Below are 25,205 nucleotides of genomic sequence, written 5' to 3' on the forward strand. Positions count from 1 at the left end.
CAACTCGGGCCTCTGGGCAGAAGCCCTGCTGCTAGATCCAGTTCACTTTGTGTCTCCTTGTAAGCTCTCGGTCCCTCTCACCTGGGTCTGTCTGAGATCCCTACCCACTCTCCTCCCCAAGGCCCCATGCCTGTCTCCACCCTTCCGCTCCTGCAGATAGATAGCAGTCTGGTTTCTAATAAAGTGGCCTCTGGATCACAGCGTGAACTGCTTCAAAGATGCCCAAACCTCAGGGATTCTCCCATCTCCTCTGCAGGCGATCCAGGCCTCTCACCTGGCATGAGGCCCCTTAGAGTAGGAATCGAGCCTCCAGATGTACCCTCTCATCACCCACAGCATCTGGCCTTCTGAACATGCCCTCTGTTCCCCAAGCCCTTGCACCTTCCCATGGTCTGCCCCGGCGTGGACCGGCTGCTTCTTGCTGCTGTCTCGTGTGACGGCTGCCATGACAGCTGCCTTCCTGCCTTCTGGGCATATTTCACTGCTCTCAAACTTTCGTGGCTTTTGGAGTTCACCGGCGAATCTTGTTAAAATCCAGATTTTGATTCAGCTGGTCTGGGGTGGGCCTCGAGGCTCTGCATTTCTGAGAAGCTCCCAGGTGATGTCCCAGCTGCTCCAGGGACCATCCCTGAGTCCCCAGGGCCTGTGCTGACTTAAGCTCCTGAGAGCAGAGGCAGTGGCTGTGGCTGCCACCTCTGGATCTCCCTCTGAGGGAGCTGTGCCGTGGCCTGGGCTCCACTCCATTTTTTTAAATAGCTTTTTAAGAGTGGTTTTAGGCTCACAGCAACATGGAACAGTGAGTACAGCCAGGTCCCAGACACCCCCTGCCCACACACATACACAGGCACGGGGCTTTCAGGGTGGTCATTTGTTAGTGAGTTGAGCACATTCTGGCCAGCACTTGAGCAAACAGCACACAATCAAGAAGGTGGCCGTCACCCAGACTTTCCACAAAGTTCCTTATTTGGGGCATATTTTGTTTGTTAACGGATCTTGCATCCTGACTCAGACTGAGCCCCTGGGAGAGCGAAAGGCCATGCCTCCCACCTCCCCACCCCCAGCGCCGGGTCGGGGGCAGATCCCACCCCACTCTGCCACGTGCCGCATCACAGTTGGGTTTTGTCAGTGTGCTCCTTTCCCAAGGCTAACACTAACTTGACTTTAGCACGACATTCACTGCAAAGGTTATGGATCAGACGGAGACAAATTCTTGCAAGAGCAGGGCTGGATTTTCCTGTCTAGAATCTTGTATGTTAAAAATAACAATCTTCCGTCCAAATGACTACAGCAGTTTATTAAGTGACCGAACGGGCAGACAAGCATGCAGGGAGGGCCGTCAGCATCCACAGAACTTACCGACCTGACTGAGAGCGCCACGTGCACCAGGCTCACGTCCTGAGCGTGTGCCCACAGCCCTTGGAGTGTTTACAAGAATTTCCTTGGTTCGATCTTACATGTATTTCATTTTAGGGGAAACAACGCAATTCCAGTTTTACAAATGTATTGGGGTAAGGAGACTTAAGACCTCAGTTAAGCTTGGAGACCAGTGATTACCGGGGCTTGCAAGATGATAAAATGGAAGCCAGGTGGGACGTCAGTCTGGCAAAACCATGACCCGGCTACAGCTCCACTGATCCAGCCTGTCTCCTCGTGGCCCATTTCCATATGCAATTAAGGAAATCTTCATTACGTACTTACTCTGTGGGAAGGATATACACCCTAGAGCTCATTCACTGTTTGAAATGTCTACAGCTTCCTACGGGAAATAGGGGCTTCCAGAATCCAGGACAAGCTTGCCTCTGGACAAGGCTGAGCAGGCTGTTAAGGGAGCAGGGGTCCCCATCCCAGGCCCCCTGCGATGGCATCTCTCTGTGCTCCCCGGGAGAGTGGGCGGGGGCAGGGAGAGACGGGAATCGGGTGATATTAAAGTTTCTCTGCCTTTGTGCTTGGAAACCAGCAAGGCAAAATGGATTTGCTGCTGTTTTATATTGGACACGGGCTTTTGAATGATGTTCTGTTATCTTTCTGTATTTCTTCCCCACGGAATCATTCTTCTGTTTTTGCCTTTCCACCGTTTTTTAAAGTTTTGAATGTCTTTCAGCCTAGCTCTTGGTTTCTTAATCTTTTTCTTTCTCTCTGCAAAATGTCATTTCCATCTGTTTCCATTTTCATTCTTTTACGTTTCCTCCTTCCCGAGCTAATAATGACTCCTTGCTCTTTTTCCATTCCATTCTTGCCGCCCGCCTGAGTGTGCCCCAAAAGCCTTCTGTTTGGTTTTATCATGGCAGACCAGTGTTCTTTTCTGAAGATGCTCTGAATTGTCTGTCTTATTGTGTTTGGTTGAGGCCTAGTAATTTTCGATAAAGCCCTTAATCCAAGTACTTGACTGAAAATTACCAGGCTTCTCTGTGGAGGATGAGGGTCAAAAATAGAAGTCCTTCTATGAGGAAGATGCAGTCAGAGTGAGACAGTCAGTATTAGCCAACACCAGCCACCTCTGAAATCAAGAAACAGCCTGGCAGGTTGACAAATGCGATACATAATTTGTAGCCCAAGTGATATATGAAGCCCTGTGACTATTTTCAGCTGGAGCTCTGTTGTATTTTCCCTTAAAATAACCTTCCCTTGACAAAGTTCACACTTTGCCTTGCACCAATGTAAAAAAAAAAAAAAAAAAGCGTTTTACATCATTGTGTAAACTAAAAATAGGAGTTTGGAGCAAATTTCCATTTTTGGTCAAATGTTTGCATCTCTTTTCCAAGTATTTGGGGTGAAATTTTCACATCTTCTAAGTTTCCCTTTGGAAACACAGTTGTTATTAAGAGGGACTGCAGGTCAACATAATGAAGCCCTCATATGGGTTTCTTGTTGGCATTTCTAGAATTTTTGAAAATGTGATATTAGCAGAACCTATTCAGCCAGAATTTGGCCTGAATATTCAAAGAGATCATATGTTCATTATGATTTGCTCCTATGCAGTAATTGATCATCAAAGCATGAGAAAGTCCATTTTCGAGTCAGTAACAACAATGCTCCCTTAGCTTATGTGGGATCACTAACAAGCTTTTCCACCCAAAGCCCACAGTGTGCCCAGTGCCGTCCTGCGCCGTGAAATACCGAGATGGAGCCAGGCCCACCTCGAGGCGATTCTAGCATCAGGGCTCTCATATGAGCAGATAAATAACAAAACCCACCTTCCGCCCATCACACAGGTGGGCGCTGGGTCTCCCTATCCCACAGGTGCAGGAGTGATGCCTTCTTTTGGAGAGCTAGAGAAGACTTCACAGAGGTGGTTACATTTCGTGCTTCTTGAAGAGTAAAATTAAGTTTGCCAGATGATGGCTGGGAGGAACAGGAATTTCAGAGTGTGAGAATAGCGCCAGAAGGGGAAGAGCTCCTGATGACATCTCGCTTTTCCGGGGAAGTAGAGCCATTCTGGGAGATAGCAGTGCAGGGGACTGTCTTCGTCCCTTCATGCTCCTATAACAAAATGCCACAGACTGGGTGGTTTATAAACCACAGATTCATTTCTCACCATTCTGGACCTGGGAATTCCTAGATCAAGGCACTCACAGATTTGGTGTCTGGAGAGGGCCCTCTGCCTGCTCCACATAAGTAGTGCCTTCTCTGAGTAGTCATGTCCTGGCAGGTGTGGCGGCGCTCTTCCGGGCCTCTGTTTTGAGGCCACTCATCCCATTCATGAGGGCTCCACCGTCATGACCTAATCACCTTCGAAGGCCTCATCTCCTAATGCCAACACCTTGAAGGTGAGGATTTCAACCCGTGAATTTGAGGGAGACACAAATATTCAGAGCATAGCAAAGACATTGGAGCTAGTTTGTCAGTGGCCCTGTATTGTCTCCTGAAGATTTGGCTTACAAGGACCCAATGGAAATTTCGTGAAAGTAGAAAATAATGATTTCATTTTCCTCTTTTCAGGGGGTAATTCTGGCAACATGGTGGCAGCAGACTTAGAGGAGGGAGGGTGGGAGCCAGAGACGAGACGAGGGGTGGGGCATTGGGCCAGGCCTGAGCCCCATAAAGCCAGTGGCAGATGGAAGTGATGTCATGAGACTTCAAGTTAGCAGATTCCACAGTGTCAAAGACCCTTGAACAGGGTTAAAGCCAGAAAAGCAAGTGCCAGGGGTGGCTGGGGCACCCACTGGCCTAGAAGCCAAGAGTTCTTGCCGGGAGGAAGATGTAGGAAGGGAATGCTTCACTTGCTGCAGAGAGCAGATGGAGGTCCTTTCATCCTTTCAGCATTGAGCAAGGCAGCGAGGGTGCACACTGAGCAGTCCTGTGCAGGGCATTTAATGGAGGGTGTCAAGGAAAGGGAGAAATGAGCAGGGTCACAGCTGCAGTGATGCTGGGTGCATAGAGAGCCCTGGGCCAGTTCACAGCTGCAGTGATGCTGGGTGTATAGAGAGTCCTGGGCTAGGTCACAGCTGCAGTGATGCTGGCTGCATTCAAGAATCCCGGGCCAGGTTACGGCTGCAGTGATGCTGGCTGCATTCAAGAATCCTGGGCCAGTTCACAGCTGCAGTGATGCTGGGTGCATAGAGAGTCCTGGGCCAGGTCACAGCTGCAGTGATGTTTGTTGACTCCCCAGCCTGTGCCCTGGATCCCCCTATCCCAGGACATCTCACCAGCAAGTCTGCACTCTCCCTTTGCAGCACCCATGTGTTGTTCTCTGTCAGCTCCCACCCTCCCACCTGCAACCATGCCATTATTGCTCTCACCTTTAAGAAGAGTTCTTTCTTGTTCCAACTCCCCTGTCCAGCCACTGCCCATTTCTCCTCCTCTTTCTACAACACTCCGTAAAGGATGGTCTGCACTTGCTGTTCCTCTCCTCCTGTTGTCTCTGGAGTCCACTCCCTCACCAGTGGCCAGTAGCTGCCTGTGGAAGGCAGGAGTGAGCAGCACGGTGTCTCTTTCTGTCCAGTTAAAGCACCGAGCAAGAGGCAACTGTATCTCTTGCTGCCTGCTTTAGTCTTTTCAAGGTCTTTCTTTGCAAAACTACAAATGTCCTGGCCTAAAGAAAAAATGTCATATCTCTGTTACAAAAAAAAAAAAAAAAAAATCTTCATTTTTTTATCTAGGGCATTACAAGCTCAGTGAGTAGTTTTCTGTTTTGACTAATAAGGACTTGCCGTGGAATAAAGGAGACATGTTGATGAACATAAGTGACCCGGGCAGTGACTCCTATGTGATCTGAGCATGAGTTACACGGGCAGCGACTCCTATGTGATCTGAGCATGAGTTACACGGGCAGCGTCTCCTGTGATCTGAGCATCAGTTACACGGGCAGCGACTCCTATGTGATCTGAGCATGAGTTACACGGGCGGCGACTCCTATGTGATCTGAGCATGAGTTACACGGGCAGCGACTCCTATGTGATCTGAGCATCAGTTACACGGGCGGTGTCTCCTATGTGATCTGAGCATCAGTTACACGGGCAGCGACTCCTATGTGATCTGAGCATGAGTTACACGGGCAGCGTCTCCTGTGATCTGAGCATCAGTTACACGGGCAGCGACTCCTATGTGATCTGAGCATGAGTTACACGGGCGGCGACTCCTATGTGATCTGAGCATGAGTTACACGGGCGGCAACTCCTATGTGATCTGAGCATGAGTTACACGGGCGGTGTCTCCTATGTGATCTGAGCATGAGTTACACGGGCAGTGTCTCCTATGTGATCTGAGCATGAGTTACATGGGCAGCGACTCCTATGTGATCTGAGCATGAGTTACAAGGGCAGTGTCTCCTATGTGATCTGAGCATGAGTTACACGGGCAGCAACTCCTATGTGATCTGAGCATGAGTTACACGGGCGGTGTCTCCTATGTGATCTGAGCATGAGTTACATGGGCAGTGTGTCCTTTGTGATCTGAGCATGAGTTACACGGGCAGCGTCTCCTATGTGATCTGAGCATGAGTTACACGGGCAGCGACTCCTATGTGATCTCAGCAGCGTCTCCTGCATGACACAGGTAGTAGCTCCTCTATGACCCGGGCAGCGACTCCTGTGTGACCCGGGCAGCGACTCCTGTATGACACGGGCAGCGACTCCTGTATGACACGGGCAGTGACTCCTGTATGACACGGGCAGTGACTCCTGTATGACCCGGGCAGCGACTCCTGTGTGACCTGTGCATGTCCTGGGTAGTGGGTGCTGCATGTCCTGGGCAGTGACTCCTCTATGACATGGGTCATGGCTCCTGGATGACACAAATAGTGGCTCCTGGATGACACAGGAAGCGACTCCTGTATTACACAACAGTGACTCCGATTTGGCAAGGCAGAGGTTCCCGTGTGATGGGGCTCCTGTGTGACATGCAGTGGCTCCAGTATGACATTGAAGTGGCTGATCCATCTTGTGCACACTTGGGGTGACTTTGGCATCATTACTGCAAGATCAGTCAGCTTTGAGCTGCAGACCGTCTTTGCTGGTGCAGGGAATCAGGCCTGAGTCTGTGTCAGAAAGGTCTTTGCAAAAAGTCAATCCTGCACCCACATCAGTCAGTGCCGGTTGAGCACTCCAGGAGGACCAAGGATGAGGCTTGGCTCAAGGAAAAAGCGAGGGGCCTGGAGAGAGTGGTGATGCTTGCAAAGGGTCTCCATTCCTTGCAGCGTAGTTGCAGGCAACACCAAGACTAGCTGGGCCCTTGGAATCATCCAGGCCCACCTCACCAGGGCCGCCAGCCCCACACCTGGAAGGGATGCTGTCACTCAGCACGCATTGAGCAAAGAACGGACTGAACGCAGCCTCCTGCTAGTCCTGGGCCTCCCTGGCTCCTGTGCTGCTGAGGGACCTCCCCCAGAGTTCCAGATTCTTCCGCACCAGTGATTTTAATCCATTTTGATGTCAGAGACCTGTGTGGGACTCTGGAAATTCAGAAGGTAATTGAGTATGACTCTTTTCCCAATAACTGCTGTGAAAAAACAGAACAGATGAATTTTAGAAGAATGTCTGAAATTCAAGCATCCTGTGAGGTATCTCCACTGGTGAGTTACTTACAGCTAGTCAGCAAATGAAACCAGAGTCGCCCACCAGTATCCTGGTGAGTCATCGCCAGCCTGAATTATTAGAAAGGGATGGCTGTCCCGGCTGGCATCTTTCCTTTCATCTGCTGCTGTTCCCTTGTCCTGTGACATCCGTGTTGTCATCCTATCAGAATTGTCAACATCACCTCATGGGTAAGAAATCAATTCCTGCTGTGTTCTCTACAGCTGCTTCTGTCTGGGAACTAAGGAAGGAGCTTTATTATAAAAGAAAATTTTTATTCAAGTTTCTATTCATGGAACTTGAAGAAATGGAACTTCCTGAAACCAAGAGGTTCAGAAGAATAGAGAGAAGATTATCATCTCAAGAGAACACGTCTCGTATCATCTGGGGGAAAGCAGGGTGGGGAGACCGTGCTCCGTGCTGCAAGTCAACCGGCAATTTCAAGAATGCCGTAAATTGGATTAAGGATTTCGCATCAGAAAATAAAGCTTTCTGCTGATATGGGGCTTTTTCATTTGGGGCTGTGGCAAACCTCATAAGCCTGTAGCACTTCTGAGAACGGAGCCAAACCAGGGTGTTCAATCGCAGAGGTTAAAGTGATTCTTTCACTGAGATAATCTAAATCTAGATCATATTGAATCTGCCTTCTCTCTGGCACGGAAACATTTTCCAAGGTATTCACGTTGGAAGTATGAATTACCCACACTCTCTTTAAAGCCCCATCCAATTAAAAGTAGATGAAAATCTCCTTAATGCAGAGTCCTTTAGAACATGCCAGGGGTAGCAGGGAGGGATGAGAGATATATATTTATAGGAAATCTGATAGAAGATACCACCATGCAACCTGAGGGTGAGTCTGAGAAGATATTTACTCATGACTTGTATTTCTTTTAAAAACAATTACTTTTGATATGTATCTAAAGTATCTTCTCTGTCATTTAGGATAAAAACAGATTAGGCTTTTACTCAGGAATGAATTAGAAGCCCTGGCATTCTAGGCAGCTACAGAGTTTGTATCCGCTTGCAGAAAATTTAAAAAAAAATAAGAAGAAGAATCCAGTGTAAGAGACCTACAAGGAAAGGTAATGTTCTCTTTGAAATGGAAATCTGCTCAGAGAGGAAGTGGTCACTGGAGCTTTAAAAAAACGTTAAAAGTAGGGAAGTTCTCCCTTCCTAGAAAATGTGAGCCGGGGCTCTGGCAGAGGACATACGAAAGACTTAGAGCAGCAGACTGAGATATTCCAGGAATGGGAGGCAACTTTAAACCTTCAGCAGGATGGGGGAGACAGACAGATGGGGACTCTGGGAAGGGACCAGGTAGCAGAGCAGGGACCGTAGGCAGGATGTCTTGGGCCACCTCCTACCCTCCCTGGACACTGGTCCCAGCTCTGAAACCTTTGTCTTCTTTGGGCTTACTTTTATTTTGTTATTCAAAGTATTAAAATGCAGCTCTGATTGTAGAATAACTTTTACTCTCATCAAAAAAAAAAAAAAGCAGATGGTTTCTTTACGTCGTGGCTATGACAAGAGTACTTTGGGAGCATTTAAGTAAAACAGTGTTCTTAAGTTTATTGGGTGGCTCTGAAGTGAGTGAGGACTTCAGTGGGGTCATCCTGGAAAGGAAAGGCAAAGGCCAGTGAGCGGGTGGGGGCTCAGTGCCATGGGTGACCCAGGTCTGGGGCTTGGCAGTCTGCCTCCCCTGTGGGAACCTGCAGTTCAAGGCCAGCCTGGACTCTTTTCAAATCCATCCTGGCAGGAGGTGGGGAAGCAGCTTGGAAGTGCTGCTATGTGGCCATCAGGAGCAAGGACTTTCAAAAAGGCCACGCTGGGTCAAGCCCACCGCTTATCTGCTGTGTGTCCTTGGCAAGCTACTTACCAGTCTGATCCCTAGATTCCTTATCTGCAAAATGGGTATAATGCAGATGCCCACCTGACAAGGTGATTGGAGGCCTTAAACCGGAGAGCACAGGTGGCTGGACATAGAGTAAGCTGGGAAAAGCCAAAATCACCTTTGCAAAAAAAATTAACAGTGAGGAAATGATGGCAGTAAAAGAGATCTGATCTAAATCCTCACCCACCTCCCACCCCCAGTCATGCCTCTCCTGTAATCATTCCTGGGCTTTGGCTAAGCCAACTTTGGGAGACCTCTAGTTTAAGGTTTAAATGATAATAGGCCTTCCCTAAAACTCAGCTGCCTTGATAAAGCTAATGAAAGGCCATCAGGCTAGGAAGAGGGGAGAAACCTGAATTCTGCTAAGGTGTAGACTGCTCACAAAATATACAACTTCACTATCGTAGATGAGCCTTTTGAGATCTTTTCAGGTTTTTTGCATGTCTGACACCTGGCTCTACCCAGACCACCAGCCCCACTCCTATGGCCCACCTAGAAGCAACTCAGCTCAAGAGGACAGCTCTGACCCCCTGTGATTTCATCAGCAGCAAGCATCCATTACCTGGCCGCCACCACCCCTTCTCCCAAACTGCCTTTGAAAAGCCCCTCCCCTAGGAACCTTTGGGGAGATTGATTTGAGTAATGACACCGTCTCCCACGTGGCGGTGTTACTGGCCGCAAATCTGTATAGCTCTGCAGCAACCTCAGTTCTCACCTTGTCAGAAGAAGGAATTCGATTGAGGGGCATAACGCAGAAGAAGAGACCGAGGCAAGTTTCAGAGCAGGAGTGAAAGTTTATTAAAAAGTTTTAGAGCAGGAATGAAAAGAAAGTACACTTGGAAGAGGGCCAAGCAGACATCTTGGAGGTCAAGTGCCCCATTTGACCTTGGACTTAGGGTTTGATATGCTGGCCTACTTCCAGCGTCGTGCACCCCTTTTCCGGTGGAATGCCCCTGGAAGGTTACCAGTTAAACTCCGCCATTTTGCCTCTCAATTCACATGCTTGGGCCCACTCACCCAGCTCCTGAGATCTTATCAGGAAGCTGCTGATCACCAGCTTGTGTTTCTAGCTCTTGGGAAACTGCCTTTCCCTGGCACTGTCTGTGACCAATTATTATTTTAGAGAGACAGTGTACACCTGCCTGACCATCATCTGACGGTCACCTGACTTTCCTGGTAGGGTGTCAGGACAGCCCTCTCCTGCCCCGCTCATGCCTGACTAGCTACCTGCTGTAACAGCATGGCTGGCCTTATGTCAATTAAACTCTTTCTTTACTGCAATGCCTTGATCTTTTTTTGTGCAGCAGGCGGGTGGGGGCTCAGTGCCAAGGGTAGTCTAGATTCGCGGCCTAGAAAGCCTGGCCTGTTGGGTGGTTCCAAAGCTGCGTGGTTCCCCTCAGGACTGGCGCTACCGTCTTGTGGGAATGATGGAAGTTGAATGCAGCATATAGGAAGCTTTCCTGATTGTAACTCAGCATCCTGCAGTTCTGTTCACTAAACCTTGTTAAGCAGGCCCTGGATTAAGGTCCAGAGGTTTTACAGGTTGATAAAGCTGAGCCCCTGTCCTCAAGGGCTTATATTCTCTGAGGAGGAATGACAAAGGGTCATGCTAGTTTCAGTACCTTACCAAAAGTTTTGAGGCAGCAGGATCCTGGGTCTTTGTGGGAGCACAGAGGAGGAGAGTGGGCGGCAGCTAGGAAGGCTTCCTGGAAGAGGTGGTTCCTCTTACTTTTCCATGGTTTTCTCCAGTAATCCGCTTTGTTTTTCCCAAGAAAAATAAGGGAAATTCAGGCCAACTATCTATCAAAAAATTATTCCACATGTGTCAAAAGCTTATCAACATTTTAATCACTTATTTGGAAAGTTACTTACCTTACAAAGTTCCCCCTTTTCAAAATGATAACAGGCTTTATATCCATAGCATAGTCACACACATACATCAAACTTTCTGCAAGCTTTAGTTTAGAGTCGAAGTCTGCCCTGTTATTTCTGATCATTGGTGATATTCGACATAGCATTTTTTAGGTGGACAGCTTGGGAAAAGAGCCAAGTCAGGCGCCCAGTTTCTACATAAATGGCACCCCACAGCCTCTCTTCACCCTACGGTTCCTTTTCCCTGGCTCCAAGGCTGCTCCGACAGACGGGCTTCGGGCCACAGCTGGCAGCAGGAGAGCAAAGACAGGAGCAGTGAGGACTGGCTGACAGACTGCTGTTACCATGGCCAGAGGCCTGCGTGATTGACATGCCAGTGATTGACCTCTTTGGCCAGCTGATGCCGCAGGTCACGAGCCAAAAGACATGAGACTCAAGAAAATATTTGTATTTTTTCGGTGTTATTCCCATAATGTTTCATTCAAATGTACTTCTACACTGTTTTATTTTGAATGATTGCATTCCTGTTTGACTCTTTGCACAATTCAGGCCTCGGCTTCTCTTTCTTTTCTTTATTTTAACTCACAGATGTGGGAGGAGGCCATTGCCTTGGGCAAGGAGCTAGCCGAGCAGTATGAGAACGAAATGTTTGATTATGAGCAACTCAGCGAATTGCTGGTGAGTCTTTATTTCTTTTTATTTAAATGAACACAGGCAATCTCAGCTGGTTTTTCAGGAATCTCTCTTTCCATGTCAATGTTAGGGTTCACCCCAGGCACTCTGGGACCTTGGCCATGTCCCTCCGTTTTGCCTAGGAAGATGGTTTTAGTTAATTTGCTGGTTGATATTTGGCCCATAAATATTTACTTTTTAGTCCCAAGTCAGCTCTTATAACCAAACTCTTAAGGCTTCTATGAATAAATTGTACGTAAACAACTGCTGACCTTGTGTATAGCGGTCTTGACAGCCCAGGAGTCTGTGAACATTTGTACTAGTTTAAAACTGACCCCAGGCCAGGCGCACTGGCTCACGCCTGTAATCCCAGCACTTTGGGAGGCTAAGGCAGGCGGATCACGAGGTCAGGAGATCAAGACCATCCTGGCTAACACGGTGAAACCCCATCTCTACTAAAAATACAACAAAGTAGCCGGGCGTGGTAGCACACGCCTGTAGTCCTGGCTACTTGGGAGGCTGAGGCTGGAGAATCGCTTGAACCCAGGAGGTGGAAGTTGCAGTGAGCTGAGATCGCGCCAATGCACTCCAGCCTGGGCAACAGAGTGAGAGTCCGTCTCAAAAAACAAAAAAACCTGACCCCTTCTATGAGAGAGGGATGGATAGATAATGACCAGACCTTTCTTCTGCCATGGGAATGCTGTTAGTTTCTAATTGCTACCTCCTCCACCTTGTCATTTTTGTATTCAGCAGATCACCTTAATGATGTGGGAATGTCTGTCATGAATTTAGAACAGAACGATTCTGTTCCTTTAAATTCTCTTTGAACGTATCCCACTATCTGACCTATACCTTTTAAAAAATACTAAGGGCCAGCCATTTCTATGGCACTTCTTTGGTTATTGAAAACACCCATAAGTCACAACTTTTTGCTGAATTTGGGCTAGTTGGTTCAGATTCCCTTGCGGAATGATGGAGAATGAGTGAAAAATAATGTCAAAACGATGGAGTGAGATGAAATTCAGGTGCAAGCCTCAGTACCCTCTCCCACCATCTCCCTCTCCCACCATCTCCCCCTCCCACCCTATAGAAGTTGCCAGAGCTTTTAAAGAGCCCGCAAGAAGAATCCAGAGGCACACATGCTTGAATACTCAAACCTGAAATGCATTTTCTTTTTTCCTTCCAGAAAAAACAGGCTCAGTTTTATGAAAACATCGTCAAAGTGATCAGGCCCAAGCCTGACTATTTTGCTGTTGGCTACTACGGACAAGGGTTCCCCACATTCCTGCGGGTAAAGTTTGGTTCTGCCTAATCTGAGCCATGATTGTTCCCCCAGCAGAAAATCCCCTTCCCGTTCTGAGGAAGGGTGGGGAGTTTGCATCCGCGTGGGATCGTGCAACTCTCTACACTGCCATAGCTCGGTGGTTAGCCCGGGGGGCAGAGAGGGGTTGACAGGATTTTATTTGGTTGCATATAACCTTTCTATCTGATTTTTCCGTAAAAGGACCCTCCTTCAGAGATTTACACGTATTATTTTAATTGAGGTGTGATATATGATATGTGATACTATTTGCCATCTTAGCCATTTTTAGGTGTGTAGTTCGGTGGCATTAATACAGTCACGTTGTTGTGCGGCCAGCACCACCATCTACCTTCAGAACTTTTTCATCTTGCAAAACTGAGATTCTGCATCCATTAAACACGAACTCCCCATTCTCCCTCCTGCCAGCCCCAGCAGCCACCGTTCTACTTTGTGTCTCTATGAATCTGACTGTTGTAGGGACCTTGTATTAGTGGAATTGTACAGTGTTCGCCCTTCTGTGTTTGGCTTGTTTCACTCGGCCGAATGTCTTCCAGTTTCATCCAGGTTGTAGCATGTGTCAGAACTTTATCCTTTTTGAGGCTGAATGGTATTTCATTGCATGGAGAGGCCACATTTTATTTATTCATTGATCCACTGATGAACATTTGGGTTGTCCCCGCCCAATGTGCTGCTATGAAGATGTATGTTTTTAATTATATGGGAAATTGGAAATGGATCTGTATGGCCACGGTGCTAGAAACTCCAAACCAGGCTCCATCCCTGAGACAGGCATGTGCTTTCAGACATGTAATTGAAGCAGTAACCGTGATCACCTGCCAGGTGCCCATTTCCCAGTATTCACATGAGGCCAAAGGAGAAGTTACATAAATATTAATAGTGCTGCCTGGCCTACCATAGAATTGTTTATACATTTTCTCAAGAACACATTCTTTGGATGCCATTGACCAGTGGGTCATGATTTCCTGATATTTCTTATGACTTTTTTTTTTTTTTTTTGGACACTTGGTTTTCTCTTATCCTAGGAGACTATGTGTGATTGCTCTGGCTTTAGGAAGCAGAAGCTCTGTGTCTTGAGCACAGCCGTCTGGGGCAGTTGAAACCAGTTGGGAGATTCCCCTGGTTCCAGACGTTGTTCATTTGGGGTCCTGTGTTTCCGACTCCACGGGAGTCACTAATAGTGTGACATCTCTTCATCACGGCACCCAGAGGATACAGACCTCCCCTTAGGAAGGGCATGTCACTGTTGACAGGGGAGCACCACAGTTCTGGCCTGCTCTAGGAGGTGAGGCTGGCTGCCCACTCAGTGTCCTGCCTGGTGACGGAGGCGTCTGGCCCTGTCCTGGTCACTCCTGGTCACTGCTGGTCAGCTTCTCCTCTTGCCTTCATCGTGCAGCAAAGACAGCGGTTGATCAGAAGCACAGATTCTGAACAAAGTCTTCCCTTCCAAAGAATGAATAAAGGAGGCTTAGTTACAAGCTCTAAATTAGAGACAAATTTGAAATTAGCTTCATTCTCAATAAAAAACAAAGCTGAAGGGTGGAATGAGCTTGGAGTTAAAGCCACTTACTGTTGCTAAAGGCTTTAATTCGAGTGTGTGTGTGCTCCGGAACATACATCTTTAGGAAAGGGAGGCAGGTGGACCCTAAGCCATGCAGCCTTGTGCAGTGCTTGGTGTTAGATGGTGCGTGTGGCCCCTGTGGATGGAGATCTACCTCTGGTATGTAGGCACCAACTCTGGATCCGTGCAGGATGGTTATCCCAGAATCCAGAGCAAGGGAGCAGCCTGCGTGGAATATTATGTGAGGGCAGTGCCGGGTGCGGAGGACACGTTGCAGCTCCCGAGCCAATAGATGCCAGGTTGTGCCAGGAGCTCACACACAGCAGGCTCCAGGGGCGGTGCTGGGTCATCTCCACCACCAAAAGGACAAAATGAAAAGTCTGAATGGAGGTTAACAGGCTCGATTAATATTGAACTGACTTTCCCGCCACACCTGGATCATTCTGTGGGTCTGCAGCAATATATTTATCACACTTCACAGATGAGCTGGCAGGGGTCAATCTGCCAATGACACTGGCAGTTACCAAAACGTGGGCAGAATGTTTGCGTGCTTCATGCCCTGCTGGAGAGGAGCCTCCAAGAACTGACTAGCTGTCCCTTTTGCTTTGTTTTTCTCTAAAAATTGGTCTCACTGTTTTTTGTGCTCATGTTGATATTTATAGACCTTACAAGGAATAAATATCTTTGACTATATGTACATTTCCCCCTTGTTTTCATGTTCAAAAGGATCACTTCAGAATGCAAAGTAACTGACATTTTCAGAAAATGTTATTCGTGTTTTTACCTATAACTCACTAGCTTTTTTCTATTAAAGTCTTTATATACATTTTTATTATTATGTTTTCTCATGTAAAGCATAAGAAAAATGCTTGCTAGTTTGATAGTAGTCTGTTATCCATTAAATCTTACTGAATTTTGGAAGTGCGTGGCTTTATATAGAAGCCTTAGAAGTTGCTCAGACTGTATTTAAGATGACATATTATCTGGTTTCTGCTTGACTTTTTTTTTTCGGGGGGGCGGTGGGGAGAAATAGAGCATTTTTCTTCCATAATGGTACTTCTAAGACATATCTAAGCACAAAGTGAAAAAGAATTCAATTCTTAAACTGGTTCTTTTTTTAGCGATTTAGGAGAACTCAGAATAAGCTGGGGCAAGGGAAGGGGACTGTCTTAGTCCACTGGGGCTGCTGTAACAAAATACCTTAGACTGGGTACTTTATAAACAACAGGAATGTATTGTTCACAGTTCCGGAGGCTGGGAAGTCCAAGATCAAGGTGCCAGCAGATTTGGAGTCTGGGGAGGGCCATTCCTCATAGATGGCGCCTTCCACCTGTTCTCATGGGGTGGAAAGGGCAGGCAGCTCTCTGGGGCCTCTTTTCTGAGGCACTGATGACTTTCCTAAGGGTGGAGCCTTTCCAGAGGCCCCACCTTCTAATACTATCACCTTGGTGATTAGGTTTCAACATCTGAATTTTGGGGACTACAAACGTTCTGACCACAGCAGGGATCAATTGATTCAGTGTCATAGAATCTCTCTTAATCCTTTTGAAAATCCTTTAGTTAGACAAATTTTAATTTGACTTCAATCTTAGTCTTTAGGGGGTAAGTGTAAAAATATGCAGCAAAATGCTGTCCTCTCTGTCTGTCTCTGTCTCTGTTCGTCTCCCTCTCTGGCACCTGTCCAGGAATGACTGCAGATGGGGCAGGGCTGCAGCTGACTTGGGAGCAGCCAACCTGGAGGTTCTTCCCCCGTGTCCCCTGATCAAAGAACAGAAGCACCTCAGCAACCACGCCCCGTCCTGGAAAGTGTTACCCCCCCAACCCCAGACTTCTGTTTCTTGTACCCCTGTGGCTTCTGCTCGCTGTCTTCTCCTTGTGGCAGTTTTCATTTCGGTTGAGACAGCCCCAGATGGGACAGGATGGGTGGGGGGAGGCAGAAGGCTTCCAAAACCAGCAGCAGCATTACACTAGGTACTCATTGGCCCCTTTCTGTGACCGAGTTCACACTCAGAACACACGTGTTGAAATCGGGAAAAAAACGGAGACCTGTTGTATCTTGCAAGGAAAACGTTCCTTACAGGTATATTTACAGAGGACTGTGTCACACTCAGGCAGAAATGACCTCAACAAGACAGCCTCGTGGAAGGAAGAACACTTACCTACTTAACTCCCCTCCCCGCCCCGGACTGCCTAGTCTAGCCTAGCCGTCTATAACAACCCCAGTGGACTGACATTCCATCTTGGAATTTATGGAGGTGACAAAAGTGTCATTTGAGATGGACCAAACCCAGCCCTTCCAAGAAGAGCTCTGTATGTTTTATCTTGACATGTGTTGATGAATAATGACCTGCACACACATTCTGAATGCAGGAAGGGAAGTCCTGCTCTCCGTCCATCGCCAGTCACTCACTCGGGGGAGGCCAGGAACTTAGTAGCTCTCGGCTCTGGTCTGCATCCCTTCCCCTCGGGTTCTGCTCGCCTCGGCTGTGTCTCACAGGAGTCAGCGCCCGGCGGCCGTGTGCAGGTGCTGGGGCCCCACCTTAGCTCAAGCTCTCTTAAATTCCTTATGGCAGAATGAAAACAACTTCATTAGGGCCTACCTGAGAAGAAAACAAAAACAAGAAAAAGTGTGGACATCATTATCCACTTGTCCTGGCTGCCTTGCCCCCTTCTAACCATTTCATGCCCATTCTAGTGTGGGCTTCTGAGTGCTCATTTGGTTTTTCATATAGTTTTTAAATCAGTTGTTACTGTCAAGATGAAAACATATCACAGATGTTAGTAGCGCAGTGCTGAGTGCTTCTTAAACAGTATTAACTTACATGCTTGATGACCATGTGTTCTTGATTAACAAAGCCAACGCAAGTACAAAAAAAAATAAAAATTACAAGTTGTTCTTAAATTTAATGACATTTTGTAAGAACCCGTAAGGCATATTTTAAGGCCAGCATATTGCATGTGAACTCTTCCTGGCCCTTTCTCTGTGGTGTTATGAAATGAATGTCACCCTTTTCAGGGAAAAGTTTTCATTTACCGAGGGAAAGAGTATGAGCGCCGGGAAGATTTTGAGGCTCGGCTCTTAACTCAGTTTCCAAACGCCGAGAAAATGAAGACAACATCTCCACCAGGCGACGATATTAAAAACTCTCCTGGCCAGTGTATCCTTTAAGACAACCTCATCAACTCTGAAACCATGGTGATGCCATTCATTTGGGTGGTTGGGTGTGGTGGGGGGCCTCTCTCATGGTTGATGTCTATGCTGCCTTAGTGATCCTTAACCCCCTCACCTCAGATATTCAGTGCTTCACAGTGAAGCCCAAACTCGATCTGCCTCCTAAGTTTCACAGGCCAGTGTCAGAGCAGATTGTAAGGTAATAATCCCATTTTTCTTACCCAACGTGAGGGTTGTAAGAGGCTGTGTACAGATCTCTTGCTAATAATTCCACCTTTTAAAGGACGGACTTTGGCCATGGATTCGCTTTCCAAATGCTCTTTCTGTCCTCTTTGAAGAGCAAGGGAAGCTAATTATTTTCAGCATCCAAAAAAAGTGACAGGAGATGTTAATCCATGTGCTGGGAGCGTGCAAAGCCTATTCCTTTCCCAAAGTCAGCTGACAGCAAAAACCTAAGAGGGCAGTGGAGGCCGTCTGGTCTCCTTTATAGACCTGCCCTGTGGGGTACAATCCCCTAGGGAACTTCACAGCAGTGCACAAGTCCTGCCTGTTCCCAGCAAAGCCAAGTTCATACATGTGAGTGTGGCCTGAATGTTTGCATTTTAGAAGGCGGGAAATGGGATTTGCACATTTGCTCCTGGTGACACACAGGAGAACCCTTCAGCCTTACAGCACAGCAATTCCATAATGTAGGGTTATGAGGGGGCTTTTAAACCTCCTGAGTCAACTGTCCATATTTGAGTGAGATTTTCTGCCTGTCAGTTGTATCGCACCTGACTTAGCAATGGCATAGAAAGACCTGCTTTAGCAGATGTGTTTGATATTAAGACTTTTCTGTTCTGTTTGATCCATGTTCTGGTGAAAATATTAATCTCTTTGATGACCTCATATTCCTTAGGATCAGCTTCATTTTGCTTCCTGAAGTTTGGTGGTTTCTTTAACCTTTCATCGTTTCTTTGACCTTGCATCAGCAATAATGGGAAATAAACTGGGACCCTGTTTATTTACAAATGATTGCTCTCGCAAGGCATACATTTTAAGGGTTGCAACATTTTTTTTCAGAGGCCTTAAGCAAATAGTGACGCTTAGAGCCTTCTCAGATGCAGTAGTTTCTTTTGCTGTGGAAGCCTGCCTGCATTTCAGTGCAGGGGAGAAATCAGTCTCAGTCTCTCCACGCCCTGCCCTGTGCATGCGGAAAGCCTGCCTCGTACCCCGACCGCGGAGGCAGGTTACTTATGTTTCCTGTGTGTCACTCTTGGGGTGGTTGCAAAATCTGTGCTTTGTAGATCTGAAACTAAGGTATGTAATACTTTTTTAAAATAATAATAAACACATACGTTGAACACAAAAGCTTTTTTCTCTCTCCTTCGCTTCACCTTTCCTCTGTTTTTGCTCATTTCACTCTTACTCAGCTTCTGTTTTCCCTCGAGGGTTGGCAGGGACAGGGAAGAGGCAAAAACTCAAGTTAATTTTTCCACCTGCCAACATTTCCCTGGCTGGGAGAGGACACCAAGGCGATGGCTTCAGGTCAAGGTTAGGGACATTTTACAGGAGGCAGTGACATGTTCTAAGGCCAGACCCCGTGTCCAAAAGCAAATTGGCTATTTGCCGGGTTAAATATCTAATGATCTGTCTGTCTCTGTACAGTTTTTACAGGGTGAACGAGGTCCAGCGATTTGAATATTCTCGGCCAATCCGGAAGGGAGAGAAAAACCCAGACAATGAATTTGCGGTAAAAAACAAACAAACCACCAAACCAAACAACAAAAAATATCATTCCGCCACCAGTAGAACTGCCACTGGAGAAGCGTGGCCTCAGAGGCAGCCACGGAGCCATATTAAATGTCTTTGTGTATTATGTGCAGAAATCTTAATCTATTACCCCCTCCAAAGTTAGAAAAACTAATTGCCATTTCACTAACAATATGACTAAGGTCACTGAGATATTTAATAAGGAGACTGTGCCGTCCAAATGCCGGAGCTCCCATATGAGTAGCGCACTGCCTTCCCTGCGAGCCCCAGGTGAGAGAGCAGGTGCCTGTCATCTCTAGTTAAAAATGGACCCACCGAGTGCTGAGGTGCGGGGTGCTGACGTGGCTTTCTGCAGGTGACACAGCAGTCAGCACATGAACTGGATCTGGACCCGGGTGCTCATTCCTCATTCAGTATCCAGCACCTGAACTTCAGTGGAGCACAACACACAACTGCAGGGTTGACCCCAGCACTACTAGCAATACGGACCGGGTTATTCTCTGTGGTGGGGACCATCCAGTGCATCCAGGGATGTTTGGCAGCATCCCTGAACACTGCCTACTAGGTGCCAGTGCCACCACCCCAGTTGGGACAACCAATCAAAAAGATTTCCAGGCCAGGCATGGTGGCTCACACCTGTAATCCCAACACTTTGGGAGGCTGAGGCAGGTAGATCAAATTAGTTCAGGAGTTCGAGACCAGCCTGACCAACATGGTAAAACACTGTCTCTACTAAAAGTACAACATTAGCCGGGCGTGGTGGTGCACGCCTGTAATCCCAGCTATTTGGGAGGCTGAGGCGGGAGAATCGCTTGAACCCAGGAGGCAGAGGTTGCAGTGAGCCAAGATCGCTCCATTGCACTCCAGCCTGGGGAACGAGAGTGAAACTCCATCAAAAAAATAAAGTTTCCAGACATTGCAAAATAAAACATCTGCCCCTTGTTGCAAACCACGGCATTCGAGTTGTAGAAATAACAGCAAACATCTTTAGAGCCTTTTTTCTTTATTTTTTTATTTTTATTTGTTTATTTTTTTTGAGACAGAGCCTCGCTCTGTCGCCCAAGCTGGAATGCAGTGCCATGATCTCAGCTCACTGCAAGCTCCGCCTCCCAGGTTCACGCCATTCTCCTGCCTCACCCTCCCAAGTAGCTGGGACTACAGGTGCCCGCCACTACGCCCGGCTAATTTTTTGTATTTTTAGTAGAGACGGGGTTTCACGGTGTTAGCCAGAATGGTCTCGATCTCCTGACCTCGTGATCCCCCCGCCTCAGCCTCCCAAAGTGCTGGGATTACAGGCGTGAGCCACCGCGCCTGGCCCTAGAGCCTTTTAAAAATTCTACATACAAACTGCTTTCATGGATTCATTTGTATTTTTATTTTATTTATTTTTTTATATAGAGGTGGGGTCTATGTTGCTCAGGCTGGTCTTGAACTCCTGGGCTCAAGTGAGTGGATCCATGTTGAAAAGGCATCAAATAAGCCATAATTTTTTTAAAATGTTAATGTTTATCCGTCTTGCCTGGGAAACCTCCGGAAATCCTTCTGTACTCCTGTATTGCAAGGAGGCATTAGCCCGGGGACCCCCAAGGAGGACCGGCTCTGCTGAGAATGGCTTCTCTTGTGTGCCGTCCGAAGGCATCTAGGCTGCAAAGGTCAAAGGTGAATTAACACCCTACTCCTGACCAGAGCAAAGCTCGGAACCCTTCCAGCAGGGTTGCCTCAAGTAAAGAGTGGTGGCTACCCAGTCTCCCTCCCAATCCCTCAGGGGTCTGCCAGTCATGGGATCCTCAGGGCAGTACCTGTGAGTCTCCTAGCTCAGCTCTTAAGAGCCATGGGGAAGTTCCTTCCAGCCCCGAGGCCAGATTCCTTGTGTGTCACCAAGGAGCACAAAGGAGCTTGGAGTTGGTGAAATCTGCAGTATTGTGCAGTCCCAGCAGGCTGGTTGTTTGAAGATTATGTTCACCCTATTTGTTGGTGAACCCAGCACCCTGGACCTCCTCCAGGACTGGTCACTACAGTGTCCATTGTCTGCAACAGTGCGGGCAGAACCTAGGCACGTCCAACCTGGACACCCTCGCTAAGGGCAGTGGCTTTCAGAGCAGACTGCACCTGTTACTGTCATCATAAGCACTAACGCTAGTGTTTATATGGAGTCCCTCAACTGTGGGATTTATAGGCAGTTCTTGAATTTCCCTCACACCTCTCCCATCTGGCAAGTAGATATATTCTTAGACTATAAAGAAATAGACACAAGGAGGTCAAGTGAGCCACTGGAGGGTGCGCGGCCAGTTGGGTGCAGAGCTAAGAATAACGAAGGCTCTTGACATTTTGAGCTATGCTGAGCCTCAGAGGCTATGCTTCTTCTAAATGGCCCTGAAATCCCCTAATGGCCCTGTTGAGGTCCGGGCACTTGGACAAAGTGTTCGGAAGCTGCAGGATTTGGTCCTTCACATGCCCCACAAAGCCTTAGATAAGTGCAACGTCTTTTGCTCTACTGGGAAGCCAGCCTCGGCCCCTCCAGCGGGGAGCCTGGCTCCAAGTGCAGGGGGCTGGGGAAGCTGCCCACCAGGCCGAGAGCAGTGCGAGGTGGCTCATCCCTGCAGACCTGGCAAGGGGTGACTGATGTGCTGGGGAGTGAGGGCACTGACGAGGAGGAAGATGAGACAGGGCCTGCGTGAGGAGGAGCTGGCCGTAAAGCCCAGGATGGAACCCAGAGGTCCGTCTCAGGGCATGTTGACATGAGAGAAAGCACTGGAATCTGGTCTAGAGGTGGATGTGAGAGGGCCAGACCTGTTTCCATTGCCAGGACAAAAACCTGAGGGAGCCGTCCCCATGGGGCAAAGAGGACTGGTGTGGGACACGGAGGCCTTGCCTGTGTCCTTATGGCTTCAGCCAGCTCCTTCCCTTTCCTCCTATGGAACGTAAGAAGTTTGGGATAAATGCTTTCCAAGATCCAAGTCAGTTTTCTGAAAATTTTTTTTTTTTGAGAGAGAGTCTTGCTCTGTTGCCTAGGCTGAAGTGCAGTGGTGTAATGTCAGCTCCCTGCAACCTCCGCCTCCCGAGTTCAAGCGATTCTCATGCCTCAGCCTCCTGAGTAGCTGAGACTATAGGCACATGCCACCACATCTGGCTAATTTTTGTATTTTTAGTAGAGACGGGATTTTGCCACGTTGCCCGGCCTGGTCTCGAAGTCCTGAGCTCAGGCAATCTGCCCGCCCTGGCCTCCCAAAGTGCTGGGATTACAGACGTGAGCCCCCCACGCTTGTCCCAGTTTTCTGGAATGACTGGCATTCCATTATCCCATCTGCTTAAGTCTAGATTCCTGTTGACACTCAGACTGCTCAGTGACCCTGCAGTGCAGGGAGGTTGGAATGGCAGAAGATTGTTGCAAGCTAGACAGTACGAACGAGGCAGTAGGATAAAGGATTTCCAGTTGACCCCTGCATTGGAGTTTTTGTGCAATCCTTAAAGAGTAGTAGAATTGTATTTATTGGGTTAGAACAGTTTCCTGCAATAGGTAATATACTGTTTTACAAAGAACACATTGTCAAATGATGTTTTTATTTAAAATATGCATAGACACACTTTTTAATACTTAGTAAGAAGTCTTGAACAATAGATACTAAAGCATATAGGTTATCAGCTTCAGGTAGGGGATGGTTTTTCCTCCTGCTCTTTCCATATCTTTATGTTCTCATATAAACATATATTAGTTACGTCAAAACATTTTAAAGTTTAAAATACCGACTGGTTTTATCAGAACATCAGAGGTCACTTTGATTAAATCCAGTCTCCCAAAGATGTATTTGCCCCTTTTAGTTTCTTATGAACACTGTAGCTAATGTAAGACTTCTTTGGAGCCTTCCTCAAAATCTGTTTGCTCAAGAGGGGCTCCCCATACCTCATTTTGGAGTATACACATCTTTCTCACTCACCTAGTATACTTTCATTGTCAAATACCAGAGTGGTGGGCAATGTTGGCTAGGGGACAGGGGATACTTTGATGTATCCTGAGCGACCGTTAGGTAGAGCGTGGCTTGTGAGGTGCTACCTGAAGGCACACATGCCCTGTGCTGAGCACCACAGACCCTGTCCTGCTGAAGGACCTGACTCCTTTGGAGTTATTCTATAAATCCCCCTTAGGGCAGAGCTGTCCACCTGCTGACATCCTTCTAACCCGTGTTGTGTGTGTGTGTTTCCTTTGCAGAATATGTGGATCGAGAGAACCATATATACAACTGCATATAAATTACCTGGAATTTTAAGGTGGTTTGAGGTCAAGTCTGTTTTCATGGTAAGGATGGCCCCACCCCAGAAGGAATTGTCCGTTCCCTTCCTCAATACAGTCTGCCACGCCTTCTTCACCTGCTCATGCCCCGTGGTCACTGTGGCAGCGTGCACACAGCAGACTCTACAGTTCCCATAACCACCCCACCTGTTCTTGAGAGCATCGATATCTCCTCGCCTAGCCATATTTTAGTGGAAATGCTGTGTAATCACGACCAACTCTAGCTTATCAAAAAACCAGAATGAAGATTTCATTTCTTCTTACAATGTATTTAAATTCAGTCATAGCTGTGCTGTTTTGACAATGCTTTGTGTTAACCAAGTGAAAAGTTGAAGACAAATTCCAGTCTACATAAACTTTTTTAAAGATTTTTTTCCTGATGGTTTTATTGCCATTTACATGACAAACAACTATTAATTAATAGTCCTTGCCCATTTCAAGTAAAAATAGCCTGAGAACATACCCCTCCCTGACCCTTTTTAAAGAAATAACGATTTCCAGCTCTCAACAAAGCTAAACTTTGCTTTGAGATGGGGCAGTTTCATTTACGTGAAACTCACATTTGCAGTGAGCTATTGGACAGTTTCATTTACATGAACCAGAGTTGGGCTGCAGATTTATTGACAGTATTGAAATGTCAGGGCCAAGGCAACTGGCAATATAAAAACATCTGATTGAAATCTGTACGTTTTTGTTCATGTGTCTCAGTGCCTTTTGTTTTCACCTGGCAAGAACTCACTGAGGGGGTGGCACTTGCCATTTAGTTTTCAATGAGTCCCCCCGAAACACCTGATTATTTGTCTCTAGGGGCCGGCATCTCTCTGCCCAGCTGCGTGTCCAGCGCCGAGCCTTCTCCTTTGCCCACACCAGCATGAGCTATGGGCAGCTATGGGCCACTCTCTGAGAGGTTGCCCGCAGTCAGAGCCACTGCTTTATACTCAAAGCACCCAGGGCTCTTCACCTACCCCTCCTGGGGTCACTTTCTGCTCTGGAGTTCCCTTTCTGTGCCCCTAGCAGCCAGGCAGTGCCTGACAGATAGAAGGCTGTGGGAGTTATGTGTCAGGTGGTAAAAATGCACTCCCTTTGCTGGGTCCCTTTGTAGCTAGTGAGGCATTGTACATGTGAGAGACAACAGAAGAGCAGGCCCTCCACCTAAACAGGCCGTGATCCTCTTAATCACCCTCTGCCCATGAGCCCTTTGTAATCGGGGCCTGCCAGCCAACAGCTGCCGGATGCAGGAGCTTAGGGAGGTGGAGAGGGGAGCCCTGACCTTTCGTGAGGATGCAGCTTCTCCTCGGGCTGCTTTGGCCATTTTGAACAGACTAAGAGGGCAGGAAGGCAAATAATCCCAGAATGGCAGGACTCACGTCCTGCTACCAAACCCTGATGCCCTCCTCGTGCCACCTGGGACCAACCCCCGTGGGATATCTGTGGGAGCAGCAGCTAACCTTCTTCAATAAAAATAGGAAGGGATTCTTTCTCAGTGCAAATGAGATTAGTAACAGGGAGGTAACAGTCAGTCCTGGTGGAATACTGCCCTGGAGTGTGCATTTGTTGAAGCTGTGTGCCCGGGATGAAATGTCGTAGGGCCTGGCAAAGTAAGTTGTGGGGTCAGGACAGCATGGCTATGCCTGCTGTCCAGGACACCGGACAAGGGGCCCTCTCA

At 47.6% G+C, this 25,205-nt stretch overlaps 1 protein-coding gene and 1 long non-coding RNA gene across 17 annotated transcripts in view, besides 1 other annotated feature; one reads left to right on the forward strand and one right to left on the reverse strand.

The window, feature by feature from the left end:
• Positions 1–8,498, reverse strand: part of LOC105378551 (uncharacterized) — a 36,497-nt gene extending 27,999 nt beyond the window's left edge. Inside the window, exon 1 of the long non-coding RNA XR_001747642.3 lies at positions 4,740–8,498. This is a non-coding gene — a long non-coding RNA (uncharacterized LOC105378551). The remainder of the gene's footprint in view (positions 1–4,739) is intronic.
• The window catches only part of DOCK1 (dedicator of cytokinesis 1), a 547,089-nt gene that overhangs the window by 486,266 nt on the left and 35,618 nt on the right, over positions 1–25,205 (forward strand). For 14 of the 16 annotated variants that reach the window (NM_001377544.1, NM_001290223.2, NM_001377546.1 and 11 more), the window contains 6 exons: positions 11,362–11,451; positions 12,632–12,736; positions 17,344–17,485; positions 17,620–17,698; positions 19,147–19,231; positions 23,459–23,545. In NM_001377544.1, coding sequence (NP_001364473.1) covers positions 11,362–11,451; positions 12,632–12,736; positions 17,344–17,485; positions 17,620–17,698; positions 19,147–19,231; positions 23,459–23,545 — 588 coding nt within the window. Of the gene's footprint in view, positions 1–11,361; positions 11,452–12,631; positions 12,737–17,343; positions 17,486–17,619; positions 17,699–18,561; positions 18,724–19,146; positions 19,232–23,458; positions 23,546–25,205 lie in introns of all 16 variants that reach the window. The other 2 variants (NM_001377543.1, NM_001377556.1) reach the window with 2 other exon arrangements.
• Positions 116–617: an enhancer, noted in NCBI's record as "H3K4me1 hESC enhancer chr10:129190073-129190574 (GRCh37/hg19 assembly coordinates)". NCBI's record gives its function as "activates a minimal SCP1, AML or CMV promoter by ChIP-STARR-seq in naive H9 embryonic stem cells {active_cell/tissue: H9 hESC(naive)}" and the evidence as "EXISTENCE:reporter gene assay evidence [ECO:0000049][PMID:30033119]".

The sequence above is a fragment of the Homo sapiens genome, chromosome 10 (genome assembly GCF_000001405.40).
Source record: "Homo sapiens chromosome 10, GRCh38.p14 Primary Assembly".
Taxonomy (NCBI): Eukaryota; Metazoa; Chordata; class Mammalia; order Primates; family Hominidae; genus Homo; species Homo sapiens.